Raw genomic sequence first — 18523 nt, 5'->3', positions numbered from 1 at the left:
ATATAAATAATTGGCCACTTCAGAAAGGTCATGGAAAACTGGAGTTAAGAGATAAAAATAGAAACTTTCTCAACATAAGCTCCATCAACTTCAAGACACTTTTTGTAAGCAATGATAGAAGCCATTTAGTCCATCCCCAAAGAACTGAGGGTCCTGTGAGTTTAACCATTTCAAACAGTCTTTTTTTCATTAGTGACCAAAGAAAAATTGGCACTCTTTAAAAATTTTTTTAAGATTAAGAAGCAAAAAGAAGTCAGAAGGAGCCAAATCAGTACTGTAAGCTGGATGCCTAATGATTTCCCATGGGAACTCTTGCAGAATTGCCCTTGTCTGATGAGAGGAATGAGCGAGAACATTGTCATGGTGGAGGAGGACTCTCTGGTGAAGCTTTCCCAGGCATTTTTCTGCTAAAGCTTTGACTTTGTCCAAACACTCATAATAAGCAGATATTATCATTTGTTGGCTTTCCAGAAACTCAACAAGCAAAATGCCTTGAGCATCCCAAAAAACTATTGCCATGACCTTTACTCTTGACCAGTCTGCTTTTCCTTTCACTGGACCACTTGGCCACTTTGACCTCTTAGTACCCTTTTTTTTTTTTTTTTGAGACAATATCTGGCTCTCTTGCCCAGGCTAGAGTGCAATGATGCGGTCTTGCCTCACTGCAGGCTCAACCTCCCTGGTAGCTGGGACTACAGGCACGCGCCACTGTGCCCAGCTAAATTGCTTTGATTGTGCTTTGTCTTCGGGATTGTACTGGTAAAGCCATGTTTCAGTTCCTATTGCAGTTCTTCGAATAAGTGCTTCAGGATCTTGATCGTACTTGTCTAGACTTTCTATCCAAAGCTCTGCTCTTGTCTACAGCTGATCTGGGTGCAAAGGGTTTTAACAGCCATTGAGTGGAAAGCTTGCTCAACTTTAATTTTTCAGTCAGAATTTTGTAAGCTGAACCAGTTGAAATGACCACAGTGTTGGCTATTGTTTCTGCTCTTGTCAGTCCTCTTGAATCGGCAGAAACAAGATGAATTTTTTTCCCCGTAAATTGATGTGGAGGGCATGATGTTCAACATCATCTCAACCCTTCCTGAAACAATTTATCCAGCTGGTCATCATGGTTCATGCCTATAATCCTACCACTTTGGGAGGCTGAGGCTGGCAGATGACTGGAGCCTAGGAGTTTAAGACCAGCCTGGGCGATATGGCAAAACCCCATATCTACAAAAAAAATAGAAAAATTAGCCAGGTGTCTGGTATGTGCCCATAGTCTTGGCTACTTCAGAGGCTGAGGTGAGGGGATCACCTGAGCCTGGGAGGTCGAGGCTACAGTGAGTCATGATCATGCCACTCCTCACTGCACCCTAGCCTGGGTGACCGAGGAGACCCTGTCACACACACACAAAATACCAATTTTAAGCTACTGATTTCTTTGGGGCATTGTCTCATAAACTTTTCCTAAAGCATCAGTGATTTCGCCATTCTTCCACCCAAGCTTCACCAGACATTTGATGCTTTTCTTGCTTCAATTTTAGCAGAATCCTATTGCTCTGATAGGGACTCTCTTCAAACTTTTTTCTTTTTTTTTTTTTTTTTTTTTTTTTGAGACGGAGTTTCACTCTTGTGGCCCAGGCTGGAGTGCAACGACACGATCTCAGCTCACTGCAACCTCTGCCTCCTAGGTTCAAGCAATTCTCCTGCCTCAGCCTCCCTAGTATCTGGGATTACAGGCGCCCGCCACCACACCCAGCTAATTTTATATATATATTTATTTATTTATTTATTATTTTTTTCTTTTTTTTAGTAGAGATGGGGTTTCACTATGTTGGCCAGACTGGTCTTGAACTCCTGACCTCAGGTGATCCACCCACCTTGGCCTCCCAAAGTGCTGGGATTACAGGCGTGAGCCACCACGCCCAGCCTCTTCAAACTTTTTTGAGAGACCAGTCTCACTCTGTCACTCAGGCTGGAGTGCAGTGGCACCATCATGGCTCACTTTGTTCTATGAGAGCACTGAGGCTCAAGCAATCCTCTTGCCTCAGCCTCCCAAGTAGCTGGGACCATAGGTGTGCACCACCATGGCTGGCTAATTTCTTTTTAAATTTTTTGGGTCTTGCTGTATTGCCCAGGCTGGTCTCAAACTCCTGGAATCAAGCAATCTTCCTGCCCCCAAGCAATCTTCCTGCCCCAGCCCTCAAACTTCTCAAATATTTTCAGTGCCTCAAACTAGATCCTGATCAGACATAACAAGTTAGTATGAGTTTATTTTGGTGCAAAAAAAAAATTTTGAGCCAGGAACGGTGGCTCATGCCTATAATCTCAGCACTTTGGGAGGCGGGTGGATCACGAGGTCAGGAGATCGAGACCATCCTGGCTAACACGGTGAAATCCCGTCTCTACTAAATATACAAAAAATTAGCCAGGCGTGGTGGCAGGCATCTGTACTCCCAGCTACTCGGGAGGCTGAGGCAGGAGAATGGCATGAACCCAGGGGGCGGAGCTTGCAGTGAGCAGAGATCACACCACTGCACTCCAGCCTGGGCGACAGAGTGAGACTCCAACTCAAAAAAAAAAATAATTGAAATCCATGCATAATTATTTCGTAACATTCATTTTCCACAAACTTTTTGAAGACCCCTTATATTCTTGTTTTTGGGTTTTTGTTTTGTTTTGTTTTTGAAATGGAGTCTTGCTCTGTCACCCAGGCTGGAGTACAATGGTGAGATCTCGGCTCACTGCACCCTCTGCCTCCCGGGTTCATTCAAGGGATTCTTGTGCCTCATCCTCCGGAGCAGCTGGGACTGCAGATGTGCGCCACCACACCCGGCTAATTTTTGTATTTGTAGTAGAGACGGGTTTCACCGTGTTGGGCAGCCAGACCCCTAATATTCTTTTTTTTTTTTTTTTTTTTTTTTTTTTTGAGACGAGTTTCGCTCTTGTTGCCTAGGCTGGAGTGCAATGGTGTGATCTCGGCTCACCGCAACCTCCGCCTTCCAGTCCAAGCAATTCTCCTGCCTCAGCCTCCCTAGTAGCTGGGATTACAGGCATGCGCCACCAAGCCTGGCTAATTTTGTATTTTTAGTAGAGACAGGGTTTCTCCACGTTGGTCAGGCTGGTCTTGAACTCCCGACCTCAGGTGATCCGCCCACCTTGGCCTCCCAAAGTGCTGGGATTGCAGGCGTGAGCCATCGCACCCATCCCTTTATATTCTTAATGCCATTAAACTTTATACTTAAAAATGGTTAAAATGATAAATTGTATTTGATATATATTTTATCATAATTTTAAATTTTGCTGCATTAAAAAACAGCTAATGGTAATATAGTGCTTATTATAAGTCAAGCTCAATAATAAGCTCTTTATTTGTTAACCCATTGAATCCTTAAAACAACTCTATGGCCAGGCACGGTGGCTCACGCCTGTAATCCCAGCACTTTAGGATGCCAAGGTGGGCAGATCACGAGGTCAGGAGTTCAAGACCAGCCTGGCCAATATGGTGAAACTCCATCTATAATAAAAATACAAAATTTAGCCGGGCATGGTGGCGCACGCGCCTCTAGTCCCAGCTACTCAGTAGGCTGAGGCAGAAGAATTGCCAGGAGGCAATTGAACTTGGGAGGCGGAGGTTGCAGTGAACCAAGATCACACCATGCACTCCAGCCTGGATGACAGAACAAGACTCCATCTCAAAAAACAAAAACAACTCTATGTGGCTAAGTACTGCATTCTCCCCAGTACTATCATTTCCTCCCAAAAGTGGAGGAAACCCAGGTATAAAGGGCTATGTAGCTTTTGATCCCTTACATAAATGGGATTATAGGCGTGAGCCATTGCGCCCGGCAGAACTGTAAGTAAAAGCACTAGTTTATTTGAAATAATCACGGGTTAAATTAGACCAATTCTACTCATCTTTTTCACCTCTTTTGGTAGTACATGCAAACAAAATCCTTGCATTTTAGGATTAGAGAGGAAAACCGAGAGATAGATCAGATGTTTTTGAAAGTGGCATACTTTAATTGAATCTAACACCCAATGCCAAGAACAAGACTGGGGTGAAAATTAGTTCAAATGGGCTGGGCATGGTGGCTCACGCCTTTAATCCCAGCACTTTGGGAAGCCTAGGTGGGCAGATCACTTGAGGTCAGGAGTTTGAGACCAGCCTGGCCAACATGGTGAAACCCTATCTCTACTAAAAATACAAAATTAGCTGGGCGTGGTGGCACACACCTGTAATCTCAGCTACTCAGGAGGCTGAGGCAGGAGAATTGCTTAAACCTGGGAGGTTGGAGGTTGCAGTGAGCCAAGATCTTGCCAGTGCACTCCATCCTGGGCAACAGAGTGATACTCTGTCTCAAAAAAATGAAAATTAACAAAAATTAGTTCAAATGTTATTTGGTACTATAGCAAGACCCTGTCTCTACAAAAAATTTAAAAAGAAATTAGCCCGGCATGGTGGTATTCACCTGTGGTCCCAGCTACTTGGGATGCTGTGGCAGGAGGATTGCTTGAGCCTCAGTGTTCATAGCTCCAGTGGGCCATGATAGTGCCACTGTACTCCAGCCTGAGTGATAGGTGCCTGGCATCTGTATTAGTAGTGACAGTAGGAAGTGTTTTATGAGCAGATATCTGACCTGCCAACATCCATTATTAAGCAAGTATCACACTATATGAGCATAAAGAAATGAAGACCTGAACGGACCTTGCTCAGGTCACTTGGCTAGTGCTACACAGGGCATGGCTTAAGATCCCAGCATATCACTTATTGTCTGTCTGCCTCATGATACTGCTCATGGCGGTAGCTTGGAAATTTCTTTTTTTTTTTTTTTTTTTTTTTTTTTTTTTTTTGAGTTGGAGTCTCAGTCTGTCGCCCAGGCTGGAGTACAGTGGCTCGATCTCAGCTCTTTGCAAGCTCCACCTCCTGGGCTCACGCCATTCTCCTGCCTCAGCCTTCTGAGTAGCTGGGACCACAGGCACCCACCACCACGCCCGGCTAATTTTTTGTATTTTTAGTGGAGACAGGGTTTCACCGTGTTAGCCAGGATGGTCTTGATCTCCTGACCTTGTGATCCGCCCGCCTCGGCCTCCAAAAGTGCCGGGATTACAGGCGTGAGCCACCGCGCCTGGCCGGAAATTTTTTTTTTTTTTTGTGGAGATGAAGTCTCACTCTGTCACCCAGGCTGGAGTGTAGTGGCGCAGTCTTGGCTCACTGCGACCTCCACCTCCTGGATTAAAGCAATTTTTCTGCTTCAGCCTCCCGAGTAGCTAGAACTACAGGTGTGTGCCACCACACCAGCTAATTTTTGTGTTTTTGTAGAGATGAGGTTTCACCATATTGGTCAGGCTGGTCCTGATCTCCTGACCTCGTGATCCACCCACCTCGGCCTCCCAAAGTGCTGGGATTACAGGTGTGAGCCACCATGCCCGGCCTCAGCTGATGTTTTGACTGCCCTTCAGTTGAATGGTCAAAATCCTGAAAGTGCCAACTATTTTTATTTCATGTGGAACTGCAGCTTCCACCTTGCTACAAGATTCTAAACATAGCTCTCATTAACTGCTAGTATTCCCTGTGAGTGATTTGACATTCCACCTGCATTTTCCTGAGACCTGGTGAGGATCATCCTGTTAAGGTTTTATATCATTACAGTTTCAACCAACTAACTGGTAAGAGAAGACATAGAGGTGCCAAACCTGAGAGCAATCAAACACACCGCTGAGCTACAGGGTGATAGAATCAGCTCTCCTTAGGGGCCTTGCATTGTGGAGTCTGATCGGGATTGCTGCACTAAGTTCAGCCCTGGGTTTTATTTGATAAAGAAGGCCTGGCACCCTTGTGCTTCTCTGTGGCCCTGCATTCTAACTCCAGGTGCCCAATTTATCAGTCTTTTATTTTTCCTTGCATGATTCTCCACACCTTTCACTTGCTTTATTTTTCACTTCCTAGATGATCATTTTCGGCTCTGTTCACAACTCTGCAGTAATATCTCAAAAGAGCTTACCTCTTAACCTCACCCCAGTCATCTATAGGTGCTCTTTTGTCGATCTGAGTACAGAATCCCACCCCAGAGTGGTACTTTACACTTGCACCACCTCCAGAAAGCTTGTGCAGTTGTATTACTTGGTATTTACTATCATATTTTATTATCATTAATTAGTGAAAACCATTTTTGAGGCCCTAGTATATGCCAACTACAGTTTACACTTTAGGTTTGTTAACTTCATTTCATCTTCAGCTCTTTTAGGTAGATTTCTGATGTGTGAGGCTTCTAGAGCCATTTTAATACCACAGCCATAACTTCTAATATGTGGCAAGTGCTAACCCTCGCAGAATTCCTCTTACTAGGTTTTTACTCAAAACATTAGGTCAGTAATGATTATTTTTAGCTTGATTCCTACCTATAGGGTTTATTTACTGGTTCAAGGATACTTTATTCCACCAAAACAGAGAGAGGAAGATATGCAAAATTCTCCTGGCCTCAGTTTTAGCTGGGAGCTGATGCTAAAGGTTTTAACTTGTAAAGGTAACGTTAGAATTTTTAGATCGGATTTTTGTGGTAAATGTATTCCCTCAGCTATTTGCATGTATGTGGGTTTCAGTAAGTATTCCTGTTTATGTTTTGGGCTGCATTTAGACTTGTTATTCCTTTTGCAAAAATTCCTTGAGTTCACCCAATAAAACCAGTAAAAATCAGCCATTTGCAGTGTGGTCAGGAAACAGTCAACAGTATTAGCTGGACATTAGTGTTGGGTCTCTGAGTTTCGGATGAAGGAATGATCATTTCAGTAGTTTAGTTCACTTGTTTTTCCTCTTTGTGTTAAGGCTATCATTCAGAGGGCAAACAGTTCCCGGTGTTGTGAATTGAAAATATGTTCTGAATAGATTTGCTGATTGTTGAGTATGTTTTGCTTACACTTAAGGCCAAATTCTTCCTTGAAGATGAGCTTGTCAATAAACATCAATGGAAAAATAACCCCAAATTTGTGACTTCTGGGGAATTTGAATTTAAAGAGAATATCTGTAGGATAACAGACTGTGGGTTTCTAGTCGTTGGATTAACATGTTTTGTTTAGCATGCTTAGTGTGGGAGTGTTCAAGGATCTTAGAATTTGTTTTTCTTAAAGCAAAGAATTGACTGAGTTTTTGTGCTCATTTGTATAATGAGAAGGTTTCCTCCCATCATGTGGGTTCGTATCTCAAAATTAACCCCTAAGTATATATCCTCAAATGTGTATCCTCATGTGTTAAACAGCTATATATTAGTTCAATATGAATTTTTTTTAGTAACAAGTGAATTTTTCTCAAAATAACATGAAATTTTTCAGAAGCCAAGTGCTTGCAGTGATGGCAGTTCATCTTGGTACATAGAATCAAGTCCAGGAGCTCTTCCAGTGACCTGGGTCTTTCAGAAGTCTGTGAGAGCAGCCCAAGAAATACAGAGGACTCAGGGCTAGGAAAGGGAAGCTTCCTGAAGGTGTAGCAGGCAGCTTGTAAATAATTCTTTGGCCGGGTCCAGTGGTTCATGCCTGTAATCTCAGCACTTTGGAGGCCAAAGCAGGCTGATCACTAGGTCAGGAGTTCAAGACCAGCCTGGCCAACATAGTGAAACCCCATCTCTACTAAAAATACAAAAATTAGCTGCGCGTGGGGGCGCAACCTATAGTCCCAGCTACTCAAGAGGCCGAGGCAGGAGAATCGCTTGAACCTGGGAGGTGGAGGTTGTGGTGAGCCGAGATCATGCCAAGCACTCCAGCCTGGGCAACAGAGCAAGACTCTGCCTCAAAAAAAAAAAAATTCTTTAATAGCATATTGTTAAAATTGCTTCAAATAGTATAACAAATTAATAGTCTCTGTATGAATTGTAATAATCACTTAGCTCTTTTAGCATTGTTACCTTTATAAAATATGTATGTAGTAAAGGAGTTTGGGAATATATCTTTCTTTCTCTTTTAGGTGTAAAATTGTGGAAAAGGAGACAGTCTTACTACTGATCAGGCTGATTAAAAATGTAGAATGGGCCGGGCGTGGTGGTTCATGCCTGTAATCCCAGCACTTTGGGAGGCCGAGGCAGGCAGACCACGAGGTCTAGAGTTCAAGACCATCCTGACCAACATGGTGAAACACCGTCTCTACTAAAAATACAAAAAATGAGCTGGGCATGGTGGCACGCACCTGTAGTCCCAGCTACTCAGGAGGCTGAGACAGGAGTATCGCTTGAACCCGGGAGGTGGAGCTTGCAGTGAGCCCAGATCACACCACTGCACTCCAGCCTGGCAACAGAGCGAGACTCCATCTCAAATAAATAAATAAATAAATAAATAAATAAAAATGTGGAATGAATTAGGCAAGTTGGGCTGCTAATGCCTTGCCACTGAATTGAACAGCCACAGACAAACCAGAATGCACTTCTCAGGGCAAAAGAACAAATATTGATGAAGTCAATCCCAACATGCTCATTCCTTTTCCCTAATCTCATCTATTAGATGAGTTCCTCCTTCTCCCAAAGAGGAGTAGGTGAGAGGAGGTGAGAAAGAGGCCATGTCCCACTCTCCTGTGCTTCCAGGGATCAGAATTTCCCTCCCTATTAGGGAAATGCGTTTAAAAAAAAAAAAAAAACACGCCAGTTTGGTTGGGATGTTTTTAGTATGCTAAAACGTTTATGTTTACCCAGCTCATGAGTCAGAAGTTATTTTGCTGCTTATAAATTCATTTTGCCATAGTATGATAAATAGCTTTTAATGTTGTAAGCAAATAGGGCATTGGATAGCAGCACTAAGTCATTGAAAACAAAAACTTCTTTATTGGTGTTTGGTTTTTATATAGTTTAGGGAAAGGCTCTTTAAACCAAGTTTCAGGTGAAAAAATGAAAAAACTTTTTAAGGATTTTAGATAACATGCCAAGCACAGTGACTCATGCCTGTAATCCCAGTAGTGAATCTGAGAAGCGCAGGCTTCCCAGATCGCTTGAGCTCAGGAGTTGAAGACCAGCCTGGGCAACATAATGAGATCCCGTCTGTACAAATAATTTAAAAATTAGCCAGCCATGGTGGTGTGCGCCTATAGTTCTAGCTATTTGGGAGGCTCAGGCTGGACGCTGAGCCTGGAGGACCACTTGAACCCAGGAGTTGGGGCTGAGTGAGCCATGATCGTGCCACTGTACTTCAGCCTGAGTGACAGAGTGAGATCCTGATGCTTAAGTTTAAAAAAAAAAAAAAAGATTTTAGATAACAACTATGGAAATGAAATCATTTTCGTTTGGTTTATATCTTCTCCACATCTTTTCTAACTTTGCGTTCTATTCTTAACCCTAAGGTAAAAATGCATTTGCAAAGGGAGAAAATGAAGGCCAAACAGAAGCAGGCTCCAGCTTCTGCAAAAACTTGGATTCACAAATGTCCCTGAACAGAAAATGAAGCTCACTTCAGAACACACACTCTCTGCCTTGAAAACTAAAGAGACTATTACTTCCTTTTCACATGACCACAAGTCCTCTGATGGAAATGTACAGCAGAAACTCTTGAGAGAGAGGCTAAAAGCAACTCTGTTCTCCCCCTTCCCCTAGACTTTTCTTACGAAAAGTCAATAATTAAGCAAATTGCTTAACACTTGGTTCCAGTTCCTGCCTATCTGGAGTTTAAATGCGTAATACACCATTAATTTCCACGCTGCAGTTTTTATTTTAAAGAAAGTAACAAGATGTCTTTACACTGACACTGAAAATTCATCCATTTTAGAGCCAGGAATTCCCATGTTACACAGGAAAAAATAGAAGTCTACTGAATTAATTTTTTAAAAGAAAAGAGATCAGATTAAATATTTCTTTGTTTTTCCTTTTGGAAACTTTTATGTATAATTCTTTCTGCCTGCCTACTTTTCTGCAAAAATGAGATGTACAGATTTCGGTTCCCTGCTATGAAAAGTGATGTGGTAGCAATTTTATAAATGTTGCTTTCTGATTTTTATCAGAGTGAGAAAATTAAAATTATTGATTTGCAAGTAGTAAACAGTTCATATTTTGATTTCCCCTCATTTTAGTTTAATATAATTTGCAATAAATGTACATATTGTTGTTTGTTTCATAAAGCATATCACTTTAAAATGGTTTTTACTCCTGTGATTATGTTGGAATATTTGGAATTTTAAAGGAGTAAAGACTGTCCAGCATTTGGTTTTATAATGTTTGTCACCAGATTTTTATTAATGTAAAAAAAATCAATTTTTAAAAAATAGTTGGACTTTGGCAGCTTTTAAGGAAAGTTGGAGGTGTTTTAGGATTGCTATCAATTTTCAGCATTGTGCTATTTGGAAATAAGTGTTTTGCTTTTGTCTGATGGTCTGGGCTCATTTTTATGTTTATTTTAGAAAACTGTTGCATCAATATATTATGTTTCTTGGCATTGTTCAGCATAGGTAATGTGTGCACTTTATGTGTACACATAATCATATTTAAGTTTTTTGCATAAAATAAATGCTTCTAGATGTCATGGCAGTCTTTTTAATCTTTTTATCATATGCTTTCTTGTGAATTTTTTCATGTTAAAGAGCTAAAGTCATAACATGATTACAGTCAACTCTCCATTATCTATATAAAATAGTGACTAAGCCTCAGGTTTTTAATTTTGTGATAACAAAATAACGAAGGCATGTAAGACCTGATTCTGGAGGAACATGAAATTTGTCTTTTCTCATGTCCAGAGTTCTATCCTGCCCCCACTGTCCACTGTAGGGTCATCCGCAAAGCCCTAGCAGAATGTGCTCACTCCATTTCCTTACACGTTTCTAGCATGGGTCAGAGGAAACAACATTTGTGTTATAACTTCGTCTTGATAGGCTGTAGTGTACATGGGATGTAAAACAAACAAGTGTATCAAAGGTGGATGATTCTGTTAGAGTGAAGTTTGAGAGTAAATGTCACTTACGTTTCTCATAGATAATCAAGAGTTGGCTGTGTATTGACTGAAAGATGGGTAATTATTTTAAATATGCATTTACACACATTTAGGTATCAGAAGATGCTTAGGGAACAATGGATACCAATGATAGAAAATGATACCTTTACAGGGGCAGAAAAATCCCCACTCTTCCTTATTGCCTCTTCAGAACCCTTTAGAAAGTATAAAATATTGCCTCCAACATGCTGAAAAAGAGTATCTATGCATAAGTATCAGAGAAGTCCCTCAAGCAATCAGTAGGTGTGTTCTATTTAGAGAGAGTTTAAAGTTCTCTTAGCATCAGACAACTTGATTCCTAAGGTTTCCAGTGTGTCACCAACAAAAAGTGCATTGATAGGGACCTTTGTCTCTTCCTCCCTTTGATTAATTGCCCGGCATCACAGTTTACTAGATTACCAAGTGTTACATCATATTAAATAAAATGTAGCAGAACCATCTGCATCAATATATTCCTGTTTAGATTTTTGCAGGAGAGAAGTTAAAAGGATTTGCTCCTTGTATGATGTAAGTGGCCCACCCCAATTTTGTAACATGATGCAAGTGTCTGGCACTAAGGGAAGCAAGAGTAGGGTTGTGGAAAGACCAAGCTGATGGGGAGGGACTTGTTTACGGGAATTTTTTTAGTTTTCCTTTTCAAAGGAAAACATTAAAATCCCTTAGGAATTTGGTATTCACATCTCAGAGAACTACAACACAAAAGTGCAGACTTATATTTGAGAATTAATGTTAACCCTTTGTGTCTAGTTTGAAGCTTCTTGTATTTGTCTAAAACAACAAGCCAGAATTTTGTATCTCCTTTGATAAAAAGTGTGTATAATGTAAAGTAGTTTTGCATATTCTTGTGCTGCACATGGGCTGAATTTTTAAATTTTTTTTAAAAACTTGAAGCAGAACCTTGTAATTTGTGTAAATGACAAGTGTAAAATCCTACCATAAAATGCTAAAAATATGCACTGTTTCAAATAAAACCAAGAAATGCAGCATTATATAGTAGTGTGGAGCCCTGAATATTCATGTACCCCTGGTATGTCACAAGTTGATAAAATGTCTCTGCATATTTTCTGTTGAGATGCTGGAGTCTGAATATCCTAATTAGAAATCAAAAGCCACCTTCAAACTTCCTGGCTGGGTACTCTGAGGTAGCTTACAGTGGCTAAGGAAGAACATAGTGGATGATAAATTCTGAGGCACATTCGGAATTTCCAAACGAGGTTTGTTTTAGGGGGTGGCTTTTTTTTTGAAATGAGATCTTACCCTGTTGCCCAGGCTGGAGTGCAATGACATGATCATGGCTCACTGTAGCAATCCTCCTGCCCCAGGCTCCTAGAAAAGTGCTGGGATTACAGGCCTGAGCCACCAGACCTGGCCAAGAAGTTATTTTTTTAACCTAAGAATTTAATAGCAGCCTTTGATTCATATTAGTCTATGGTTCATCCATTCATTGCAAGTTCTGCACTCACATATTTAGTTCCATAACAAATTCAAGAGAGCAAGCAGATTACATAAATGTATCTGGAGTAAGAGGTGACCAGAACGAGAGGTAAGAAAGTCTATCATGGCTGGGCGCAGTGAGTCACACCTTTAATCCCAGCACTTTGGGAGGGTGGCCGAGGCAGGTAGGTCACTTGACCTAAAGAGTTCAAGACTGGCCTGGGCAACATGGTGAACCCTGTCTCTACCGAAAATACAAAAATCAGCCGAGTGTGGTGGTGCACACCTGTAGTCCCAGTTACTCAGGAGACTGAGGTGGGAGAATCCGTTGAGCCTGGGAGTCGTCGGTTGCAGTGAGCCAAGATCACACCACTGCACTCTAGCCTGGGCAACAGAGCAAAACTGTTTCAAAAATAAATAGGCCAGGCGTGGTGGCTCATGGCTGTAATCCCAGCACTTTGGGAGGCTGAGGCAGGTGGATCACCTGAGGTCAGGAGTTCGAGACCAGCCTGACCAACATGGAGAAATCCCGTCTTGAATAAAAATACAAAAAAATTAGCCAGACTTGGTGGCGCATGCCTGTAATCCCAGCTACGTGGGAGGCTGAGGCAGGAGAATCACTTGAACCTGGGAAGCGGAGGTTGTGGTGAGCCGAGATTGCGCCATTGCACTCCAGCCTGGGCAATAAGAATGAAACTGTCTCAAAAATAATAGGCTGGGCACGGTGGCTCACACCTGTGATCCCAGCACTTTGGGAGGCTGAGGCAGGCAGATCACCTGAGGTCAGGAGTTTGAGACCAGCCTCGTCAACATAGTGAAACCCTGTCTCTACTAAAGATAAAAAAAATTAGCCAGGCATACTGGCGCACGCCTGTAGTCCCAGCTTCGCGGGAGACTGAGGCAGGAGAATCGCTTGAACCAGGGAGGCGGAGGTTGCAGTGAGCCAAGATTGTGCCACTACACTCCAGCCTGGGCAACAGAGCGAGACTCCGTCTCAAAATAAGTAAATAAAGGCCTGAAACGTACATTTTGCACCACTGCACTCCAGCCTGAGTGACAGGCTGAGACCCTGTCTCAAAAAAAAAAGGAAAAGCTATCATGCCTAGTTTTGTATTTTACCCATAATGGGTTGACCTTCCACCCCCAATACTTGCACTGACAAGACTTTTTTGTCTTTGCTACTCACATGAACTGTCCTGCTCTGACAAGCAGCTTTGTAGCCTGCTTAGGTAACGGTGACAGCATTTCCTACAAGGAGTTCGCTATAAGCCAGCAAGGTAGGGAGGATGGAAATGAGAGTGCAGAATCAAGTGCCTTTCTGCTGTAAACCATACCTTCAACTTTTCATTCCCATGAGAGTAATAACCTTCATTTATTTCACTATTGTATCATAGTTCAAAGTCTTAGCAGGGCAACATACAACCCATCTCTACCAAAAAATTAAAAAAATAAGACAGGCATGGTGGTGCGTGCCTGTTTTCCCAGCTTCTCGGGAGGCTGAGGTGGGACGATTGCTTGAGTCCAGGAGGCAGAGGCTGCAGTAAACTGAGATCACACCACTGCATTCCAGCCTGGGTGACCAAGACCTTGTGTCAAAGAAAAAAAAGCCTAACGGGAACATATACAGGTCTCATTTCTAAGGAACCTGGGCCAGGCTGCTGATCAGTACTTCAGTTTTGGGGTGTTTCTCAAATGTTTCTTTATCAATACTGATTGCTAACTTATCTCCCCTCATTCTCTGGTTACTCCTGTTGTTCTTGAGCAAGGACCGTGTCATTCTGAATAAAACCTGTTATTTTTAGTAAATAGCACTACATCCATTCTTCCTGAAGAAGCTTGAATAGTGACATGGTTTGGCTCTTTGTCCTCACCCAAATCTCATCTCAAATTGCCATCCCCCACATGTCGAGGGAGGGACCTAGTGGGAGGTGATTGAATCTGGGGCGGTTTCCCCCATGCTGTTCTCTTGATAGTGGTTCTCATGAGATCTGATGGTTTAAAAGGTGTGGCCCTTCCTTGCTCTGGCTCTCCCCTGCTGCCGTATAAGAAGTGCCTTGCTTCCCTTTCCCCTTCCACCATGATTAAGTTTCCTGAGGCTTCCCCAGCCATCCGGAACTGAGTCAATTAAACCTTTCCTTTCTAAATTACCCAGTCTCAGGCAGGCTTTTGTTTTCTTTTGTTTTGTTTTGTTTTTTTGTTTTTGAGACGGAGTTTTGCTCTTGTTGCCCAGGCTGGAGTGCAATGGTGCGATCTCAGCTCACTGCAACCTCCGCCTCCTGGGTTCAAGCGATTCTCCTGCCTCAGTCTCCTGAGTAGTAGTATTTTTAGTAGAGACGGGGTTTCACCATATTGGTCATGCTGGTCTCGAACTCCTGACCTCAGGTGATCCACCCGCCTCAGCCTCCCAAAGTGCTGGGATTACAGCCATGAGCCACTGCACCCAGCTTCAGGGAGTTCTTTATAGCAGCATGAGAATGGACTAATACAAAAAAAACCACTAGAAGTCAGTAAGACATGTAAGGAGCCACCGTAGTGCTGATTCTGGATCTGCAAAAGCCAACTAGAAAATAGGGAGTCGCCATTTTTCATCATTTCAGGCATTTGTAATCTGTAGAGACTAGGCACGATGCCAGGAGCCGACATTAAAAACACCAGGATTGGTGCCTTACAAGGACTAGCAACATAACACAGGCAGCTGCGACTGTTCCAGGTGATACATTTTGTGTGGACTTCAGAACCCTGATGGATGCCGTAGAAGCAGAAAATCCTCACCTTTTCTACTGAAGTGCAATTCTGAGAACTGTTATGAGCATGTAGGTGTCTAAAGAAGTGACTGGGCCAGGCGCAGTGGCTCACGCCTGTAATCCCAGCACTTTAGGAGGTCGAGGTGGGCGGATCACCTAAGGTCAGGAGTTCAACACCAGCCTGACCAACATGGAGAAACCATCTCTACCAAAAATACAAAATTAGCCAGATGTGCTGGCACATGCCTGTAATCCCAGCTACTTGGGAGGCTGAGAGGAGAATCGCTTGAACCCGGGAGGCAGAGGTTGTGGTGAGTCAAGATCGCGCTCACCGCACTCCAGCCTGGGCAACAAGAGTAAAACTCCGTTTCAAAAAAAAAAAAAAAAAGAAGAAGTGACTGGCCTGAGCAAACTGCCCTACCTCAGGGCACAAGGAGCTGGGCCTGAAGCTGGAGGTGGCTCTCCAGGCTGAGGGCTGGGGAAAGACAAGAAGGCCACCACTTCAGCGAATCCCAACACTCCTTAAACCTCCCTGGGCCTTAAACTTCCCTGCTCTGGGGAAGAGCTGGTCCCAGCCCTGAAACCTCTCTATCCACTGTAGTCCTGAGGGACAGGGGACACGCCCCACTCAAAGCACAAATTCTGTGTGTCAGTAATTCCTGTGGCTCCTTTGGACAAATTTTGTGCCACCTTAGGAGCTTAGTGGACTTCTCCAAAGCAAGGCAGCCCGCGAAGCACCCATTTTTCAGAGCCTTTTTGAAGAGCTCCACCCTGGTGGCCCCCCAACCCCTACCCCAAGAAAACCCTGGCAGTTTAGCCTTCTGGATGCATCTGGCATGTCCCCTCCAAGAGGAAGGTCAACCGCAGGGACTGAAAGGAAGCTGTCCCTTTGCAACCCACCTCAGGCCAAAAGCTGAAAAGCAAAATACTGGTTACCCCAAAACTGCCTTACTTTTAGATGTAGGCCGGACCCAGGGACTAAGGGCTCTGCATTTTTTGACCATTTGGCAGCTCGGCTGCCCATGGAAGCTTATAATTACGAGCACAGGATCTGTCTTTTTAGAAGCCATGGCTCATTAGGGATATTAAAAGTAGACTGGTTCTCATTTTCTTTTTGTTTTTTTTGAGACAGAGTCTGGCTCTGTCGCCCAGGCTGGAGTGCAGTGGTGCAATCTCGGCTCACTGCAAGCTCCACCTCCCGGGTTTGCGCCATTCTCCTGCCTCAGGCTCCCGACTAGCTGGGACTACAGGCGCCCGCCACCACGCCCGGATAATTTTTGTATTTTTAGTAGAGATGGGGTTTCACCGTGTTAGCCAGGATGGTCTCGATCTCCTGACCTTGTGATCCACTCGCCTCATCCTCCCAAAGTGCTGGGATTACAGGCATGAGCCACCGCGCCCGGCCTCATTTTCTTCTCTCTACACATACACAGCTTGGAGGTTGTCTTAATGACAAGGCATCCACACAGCATGGTAGTCGAACATTTCTCAGTCCCCACAGCTATTCAAAGGAAAACATTAACAAAGATGTTATCAACTCCGGCGAGCCACCAACTAAATTTTCCTTAGTTTCCTTGCCTGTAAAATGGGGACTTTAAGTAGGCTGGTCACAGTGGCTCATGCATGTAATCCCAGCACTTTGGTAGTCCAAGGCAGGAGGACTGCTTGAGTCTAGGAGTTCGAGACCAGCCTGGGCAACATGGCGAGACTCCATCTCTTTAAAAAAAATAATAATAATAAAATAAAGTATATATATATATATATATATATATATATATATATATATATATATAGCTGGGCATGGTGACAGGCGTGCACTTGTAGTTCCAGTTATTTGGGAGACTGAGGTGGGAGGATCACCTGAGCCCAGGAGCTACAGGCTACAGTGAGGCATGATCACACCACTGGGTGACAGGGAGATTGTCTAAAATATATATATATATATCTCAAATATTACATCATCTCCAGTCTCAGGGTAATTCCACCTTTTCATGGAAATGGTAGAGACGTGTTTGTTGTCACAAGGCCTTTTTTTTTTTTTTTTCCAAGACGGAGTCTTGCTCTGTTGCCCAAGTTGGAGTGCAGTAGCACCATCTCGGCTCACTGCAAGCTCCGCCTCCCAGGTTCAAGCAATTCTCCTGCCTCAGCCCGCCGAGTAACTGGGATTACAGTTGTGCGCCACCACGCCTGGCTAATTTTTGTATTTTTAGTAGAAAGGGGGTTTCAACATGTTGGCCAGGCTGATCTCGAACTCCTGACCTCGTGATCCGCCTGCTTCAGCCTCCTAAAGTGCTGGGATTGCAGGCGTGAGCCACCGTGCCCAGCCTCTGAAGACCTTATTCTTCACTGATGCATGATTTCTATCTTACTGACAATTATTGTGTTTTAAGGGTCACAGTTACCTAGATTTTACAGTTCATATAGAAGGATGAAAGGAATTACAGATATTCCAGAACAGGTAGAAACAAGAGGAAGCCATTGTGCACACACATGGCCTGCACTGCCATTTGGCTTTGGGGAGAGCAGGATTCTGACAGCAGAGGAAGAGCAGATCAGGATTTCTGCCTGAGTTCATTTCCATTTTAATGTCCCTGCTTATGATTAATATCATACAACAATGATAATTCAGCAGAAGCCCAGAAAGGGCTGGCATTGAAACTCGATTCTCTGCGCCTTAGGAATCCTCAAATATAAGAGAAACATTTGCTGTGTAAATTCCGGCAGGAATCCTGTAAGGCAAGGGTTGAATACCTTACGGTGTCAGTCAAGTGGCAGCAACCAGGCAGGGGTGGAAATGTGCCTTTAAAATGATGCAAGACCGGGTATGGTGGCTCATGCCTGTAATCCCAGCACTTTGGGAGGCCAAGGCAGTCAGATCGCCTGAGGTCAGGAGTTCAAGACCAGCCTGGCCAACATGGTGAAACCCCGTCTCTACTAAAAATACAAAAATTAACCAGGCATGGTGGTGCATGCCTATAATCCCAGCTACTCGGGAGGCTGAGGCATGAGAATCGCCTGGACCTGGGAGACAGAGGTTGCAGTGAGCCGAGGTTGTACCACTGCACTCCAGCCTGGGTGACAGTGTGAGACTGTGTCTCATAAATAAACAAATAAAATGATGCAGAGTCCAACTCAGGAGACTAAAGCTGGGGCTCCTGGACAAAGGAGTTCTTAGGAAGCCCTCCCACCTACCCTGTTACTCAGGAGGGGACTTATATACAAGTTACATACCATAAAATCCACTTGCTTTAAATGTACAATTCAATGATATGCATGACATATACCGAGTTATATGAGTAGCTGGGACTACAGGCGCCCGCCACCATGCCTGGCTAGTTTTTGTATTTTTCCTAGAGACAGGGTTTTGCCATGTTGGCCAGGCTGGTCTCGAACTCCAGGCCTCAAGT

At 43.5% G+C, this 18523-nt stretch overlaps 1 protein-coding gene across 5 annotated transcripts in view, besides 1 other annotated feature; it reads left to right on the top strand.

Annotated features, from left to right (window-relative positions):
• The window catches only part of PDS5A (PDS5 cohesin associated factor A), a 155049-nt gene extending 143122 nt beyond the window's left edge, over window positions 1–11927 (top strand). For all 5 annotated transcript variants that reach the window (XR_001741185.2, XR_001741188.2, NM_001100399.2 and 2 more), the window contains one exon: window positions 9302–11927. Coding sequence is in view for 3 of the 5 variants with exons in the window: in NM_001100399.2 (NP_001093869.1) it covers window positions 9302–9305 (4 nt within the window). In the remaining 2 variants the exon portion in view is untranslated. The remainder of the gene's footprint in view (window positions 1–9301) is intronic.
• Window positions 14054–14591: an enhancer, noted in NCBI's record as "OCT4-NANOG hESC enhancer chr4:39821819-39822356 (GRCh37/hg19 assembly coordinates)". NCBI's record gives its function as "activates a minimal SCP1, AML or CMV promoter by ChIP-STARR-seq in naive H9 embryonic stem cells {active_cell/tissue: H9 hESC(naive)}" and the evidence as "EXISTENCE:reporter gene assay evidence [ECO:0000049][PMID:30033119]".

The sequence above is a fragment of the Homo sapiens genome, chromosome 4 (genome assembly GCF_000001405.40).
Source record: "Homo sapiens chromosome 4, GRCh38.p14 Primary Assembly".
NCBI classification, from domain to species: domain Eukaryota; kingdom Metazoa; phylum Chordata; class Mammalia; order Primates; family Hominidae; genus Homo; species Homo sapiens.
The sequence above is the reverse complement of the archived record's forward strand: the minus strand, read 5'-3'. Positions and strand labels throughout refer to the sequence as shown.